This window comes from Homo sapiens, chromosome 1 (genome assembly GCF_000001405.40).
Source record: "Homo sapiens chromosome 1, GRCh38.p14 Primary Assembly".
Taxonomy (NCBI): Eukaryota; Metazoa; Chordata; class Mammalia; order Primates; family Hominidae; genus Homo; species Homo sapiens.
The window spans coordinates 168,864,822-168,870,821 of record NC_000001.11 but is presented as its reverse complement, the minus strand read 5'-3'; the positions used below and the strand labels follow the sequence as shown (position 1 = coordinate 168,870,821).

General features: G+C 38.2%; 1 long non-coding RNA gene across 1 annotated transcript in view; it reads right to left on the bottom strand.

The window, feature by feature from the left end:
• Positions 1-622: 622 nt before the first annotated feature.
• The window catches only part of LOC105371606 (uncharacterized), a 30,799-nt gene continuing 25,421 nt past the window's right edge, over positions 623-6,000 (bottom strand). Inside the window, exon 2 of the long non-coding RNA XR_922261.3 lies at positions 623-1,845. This is a non-coding gene — a long non-coding RNA (uncharacterized LOC105371606). The remainder of the gene's footprint in view (positions 1,846-6,000) is intronic.

The window sequence follows — 6,000 nt, the reverse complement described above, 5'->3', positions numbered from 1 at the left end:
TTTCCTTGTAAGAGTTTTATAGTTTTGACTCTCACATTTAGGTATATAATCCATTTTGAGTTAATTTTTTGTGTGTGTAATGTAAGGAAGGGAACTGGCATCATTATTTTGCATGAGTTTGATGTGTTTGGATTCTCTAATTTAAGGAAAAACTAATGATAACTTTAGTACAGGTTAGACGGAGGTGCAGAGAAGAGAAGAAAATCTCTTCTCTGAAGAGGACAGTCAAGATGATAGGATTGAGCTTTGTACTACCAGGGCCTTAGTTCAGGAATGTGATGTGACTGAAGCCAGCTCAATGAGATGCAATCTCAAGACTTGCTGGAACTATTAGAATAAAACTCTTTTTTTTTTTTGTAGGATTATTATCTGTTCTGATTACTTAAGTCTCAAGCTACCAGTCTCTTTAAGTAGACAGCTTACTGGAAAATGGGTCAATAAAACGAAAAGCAAAGCCAATAGGTGGGGTGAGACACTGAGTTTGTTAATATTGTTTGAACTTTTGAAACAATACTTGAAAATCTACTCTTAAATTTTCAGTTTTAGATTTTTTTCACTTAATTACCAAGTAAGTGCAGAATGGCACACACCTGTGTCTTGCTCCAAATACTCATCAACAATATGCACTAGAGAAAGAATACATTTATTATAGTTTCCTGATCATTCTTTGAAGTTTGACATGGTTGTTTCTTCCACTAGGAATGTCTTTTCTCTAATTTACTTGATTAACACGATCTTTCCTTCAAAAAGCGTGAAAAGGCCTCAACTCCTCTCCTAGAAGCCTTTGCTAATATAGCAAGGCAGGGTTGAAGGCCCTCCCCTCAACCCAGCCTGAGCCCCAGTAGTGTCTGTCTCATTTCATTTTAGTTTTCTGGCCCCTCAACTTTTGAGAAAGTAATGGACAGTGAACATATTTATTCATCTGTGTATTCCATGTGCCTAGACCAGGGCCTAGTACATAATGGGCAATCAGTAACTTTTGTTGAATGAATGGTAAATGCAATAGAGCCCCCATACGGTTAAATTTTATTAAGATCTCACAGTCCTCTAAATATATAACTATTTTCTCTGTGTCTAGCTTGTTCCCTCTCCCCTCGTGTTGAATTTTAAAACAGTCCTACGAGAAGACACCTAAGACTAAGAGAAGCACAACCTGATATAATAGTTTTGGTCAGTGTGGAATGCAGCTGCCTTCTTGCTTTCTGAACAAAGTGATGCCAACCAAGTATAACAGCCCTATATTCTTTCTGCTTATCAGTAGGTTTTGAGATATATATATATATGTTGGCTTTTTTGAGTCAGAAGGCCAATGACAAATAATCCCCTTTGCCTTCAGACACATTTAGCATTCTTGAGCTTACCTTGCCACTCAACAACACCCCCCATGTTTCTGGAGTTGCTGTATGGTTTAAGTCAGAGCAGTGAGCAGCTGGTGTTACTTTAATTCCTTGTGAAAACTTCTTCTCTGTTCCAACCAATATCCACGCAACCTCTGTTCTTTTAATATTTCCAATGTTAATTCAGTTTGCTTATTCTACACATGATAGATGGCTGACCTGTAAAGATTTTGAGGCAAAGGAAAGAGCACTGGAGCCAGGCAAGTAGCCTCAGTTCCTCCATTAGCTTATTATATTTGATGTCTTCGGTCCTCAATTTCTTCTCCTGAATCATGATAAGCCTGGATGGAAGAGCCCCTAGGGCCCATTGCAGTTCTCAGATTCACAGGACACTCGATGTTCCTATGGTTCTCATTGAAGTTATTTGTGATGCTGGATAGAGGCTGAGGGAATTTGGCCTTCTAACTTTTGGTAACATGTTCCCAGGAGGTATGCACTGTTAATTGTGCTGTTAATTGAAGAGAAAACATTGGCATTAAAAAGAGAGTTCCTTTTTACTTAGGAAAATCTGTCTTTACTTTCCCCCTTTTTGTTTTTATCTCTTTAAATCCCATGTTGTGACCATTTTATGGAACCGCCCAAATAATCAAAGTGGGCCCTGTAAACTGCCTCATTTCTTAAAAGAAGGCAATACACTGCCTAGTCTCTAAGACTTTACATAGCTGGGTTGTACAGTCAGAATAGGCCAAATACTATACTAAATAATCTTCAAATTTCAGTGTTTTAACACAATGAAGATGCATTCTCACTGATATCATAATCCAGTGAGAGGTGGCAGGGGCGAAGTGTGGGGATGGATGGGGACGTGAAGGTGTCAGAGAAGCTGTTTCCACCATGTTCCAGGACTTCAAAGTCTTTCACTGGGTCTTTTGGTTCCACCAGCAGATGCAGGAAGACAGGAGAAGGGTGAATGGTTTTGTGGCCACACGAGGGAAGTTTAACTGTACACCGAAGACAAAGAGGAAATGAGTTTAGTAATCTCTGCTGGGTCACCTAGGTATGGCAGAAACATGCACAGGGAGATGTTTATACAATAAGGTAATGATACAGAGAGACATTATTATACACATAGACTGAAAAGACTCATGAGACTGGAGGGCCACAAAGAAGGGCCAGGTGGTGATTCTGAGTTCAGAGAGGGGACTTAATGCAACCCCTCTTGTTTTATAGCCAAGGAAATTATACCCAGGTAAGGAAATTATGACCCAGGTAAGTAAAGTGGCTGCTCAAGGTCACCACAAATTAACTGCTTATCTGAAATGAGAACTCGTTGGTCAGCATACTTCCTGGCATTCATGTAGTAGAATCACAGGTGCCAGCATTCTTTGGAGAAAAGCCTACTTGGCTCTGGTTTAAGACCAAAGTGAAATATCAACCTTAATTTTTTTTTTTAAATGGAACTGGTCTAAAAACCATGGAAGATTTTAAAATTCTGAATAACTGTTGAAAGTCACCAAATGTGTAAGAGCACAGGGTAGGCATTTAATTAGAGAGAAGAGACAGAGACACACATAGAGAGAGAGAGCCACTAAGAAAGAGTCAAAGATCTGTTAAAGAAATATCCTTTTGATAGTAAACCTGACCTATTGGTTTTGCTGGCTCTAGGGGTCTATAAATTTTACTTCCTGTTTTTTTAGTTCTAAGGAGAAGAAGTCCCTACACAAATATTGAGAAAGATAAAGGCTGTCTTTGGGCCCTTTGCCCCTGTGATGGTATTCCTCTTCTAACATTCAAGTTGTACCAATGTCTCCCATCCCTCTCACCAGATAGCAATGCCTTCATTCCATTCCCTTGTCAATCTGATCACTCCATTTTCCATCCCCAAAGAGACTATTATAGTTATGTGTAAAGTGCTGATTACATACATTCATTGTCTCCTTTAGAACTCACATAAACTTCAGGAGCGAAGTTTTAGTATACCAATTTTATAGATGAGAAAAAGACCAATAGATAGAGCTACCAATTACTGAATACCTGCTATGTTCCAGATGCTTTATATACTCTATCACAATTTATACGGCAATCTTGCAAAATATTATTATATCACTTCCCTTTAAAATATGAGGAATCAATATCAGAAGGGTTAAATAATTTTGCCGAGATCACCAAGCTGGCAAGATAGAGACAGATTTTAAACTTGGGTTTATTTGATTTTAAAACCTATGTTTTCCATGATGCCAAATAATAACAATGATGATTTTATTATTATTTGTAATCATTTTTACTGTTATTAAGTTTTTATTTTATAGTCTTTCCAGAGAAAATTCACATTCTCTGATGGGATTCTTAGAGGTGCAATGCTTTAAACATTATGAATAAATGTGGTAGTTCAATTTATCAGTTAGGGTACTTTTAGCTGGAAGTTAAAAACAAACAAACAAAGATAAATGGTATAAAAAACAAGTAAACAAGGCTATTTATTTGTCCCTTAAGGAGAAATGCAGAGCTAGAGGAATTCTAAAGCTGGGTAATTCAGTGTCTCAGTGATGCTACCAAGAACCCAGTATCCATCCTTTCTGTTCTGTCATCTACAGTAATTTGCTTTATCCTCTTAGGCTGGTTCCCATGATGGTACCAGATGGCTCTCTCATTGCAGGTATCTTAAGCAGGTGACAACATCCAGAAACAGAAAATAAAACTGCTAGACTTGTGTTCATTTTTAGGAGTGAGAAAACCTTCCTAGAGCCTCACCGACAGACTTTCCTTGACATCACTTCAGCCAAAATTAGATCACATGCCCATGCCTAAACAAATCACTTTCCAAGGGGAATGGAGTTGCCATGTTTGACTAAACCACTTAAGGATTTAATGTCCTTTGAAATAATTGACTTCTCAATATTTTAGCAAGCTTCAGTTTCTGTTAGGAAGAAGGTTCAAGGCAAATTCTTGTGGGTAAGAAGCAATAGTGATGATCACATTCAGGCACCAAGACTCGGTGGGATAAGGATGGAGGTAGAAACTTTCAGGTTCACACAGAGGTCTTGCCTTCTCATGAGCCCAGACCCATTATGAGTCATGTTATAGAAGTAAATACTGTAAGTGTTTGGGGAAGAATTTTCACATCGTCCCAAAGTGTTATTTTGAAATTACAAAGATTCTCAGTTGACTGACTAGAAAAAATATGAAAAAAAAAGCCAACTTCTGACTCAATAAGGGCCACTTATGTTACTATGCTGTGAACTAATTGGTCTCAAATAACTTTAGAGCCATTTAGTTCAATTCCCAGATCTTTTGTTATAATGCTTGTCTTCCTTCTACAATGTCTTTTCCGCTTGATTATGTTACCTCTGCTACACATTTTGTGGCAAGGGGCTTACTACTTGTCAGGCCTCTGAGCCCAAACTAAGCCATCATAACTCCTGTGACATGCAAGTATACATCCAGATGGCCTGAAACAACTGAAGAACCACAAAAGAAGTGAAATAGCCAGTTCCTGCCTTAACTGATGACATTTCACTATTGTGATTTGTTCCTGCCCCACCCTAACTGATCAACTGACCATGTGACATTCCTTCTCCTGGACAATGAGTCTCAGGAGCTCCACACCGAGCACCTTGTGACCCCTGCCTCTGCCCACAAGAGAAAAGCCCCTTTAACTGTGATTTTCCACTACCTACCCAAATCCTATAAAACTGCCCTACCCCTATCTCCCTTTGCTGACCCCTTTTTCAGACTCAGTCCTCCTGCACCCAGTAATTAAAAAGCTTTATTGCTCACACAAAGCCTGTTTGGTGGTCTCTTCACACAGATGTGCAGAACACTACTTACACTCTATTATCTTTGAGGGCAATTACTTTTGTTACAAAGTTATTTCTCATTTTAAACTGAAGTTGCTAACTTTAAATAAGTATATATTTTACATAGACACAAATGTGCTGTGTAGAAAAAGCAGGTTTTGGAGTCAGACAGAGTAAGGTTAGTATCTCAGGTTTTCCAATAACTGGTTAGAGGGTTGGGAGCCAGACAATTGGCCTTAAATCTCAAATATGCTATTTATCAGTATGTAACCTTAGGAAAGCACTTAATTCATCCCTTTATCCCTCCATGACCCAGTTTTTGTAGCTGCAAAATAAATCCTATAGTGGTATCTCCTTAATGAGGTTAAGTCAGTCAATACATGTAAAGTCTTAGTGCTGGAGACAATAAATATTTCTTATTACTACCAAAACTAGCTGTGAGGACATATGAAAATGGTTTGAACTCTTTGGTACTCAAGAAAATTGATATAATCGTAACATACTTTTGAGGTTCAGTATAATGATTAAGTGCACAACAAACATTAGCTATTGATATCATTATTATTTCACAAACTCAATTGTTGATGCAGCTAATGGGATGGGGGATAGTGGAGAATACAATTATTCCAGAGCTTTCCGTATGTATTTTCTTTCTTTCCTAGCCAGAAATTCAAATGTCTACTTTTCCTCTCCCAAGATGTAAGTCATATCCACAAAGACCAGCCAGCACAGTGGGCAGGGAGTTCTAAATGTCTTGTGGACCTGTGGACCTATTTCCTGCTTATCTTTGCTTTGGCTGGTGCCACTTTTTCAGTTCAATTTGCAGTTTGAAGTCATGCAAATTGTATTTTAAGTGAATTAACCTA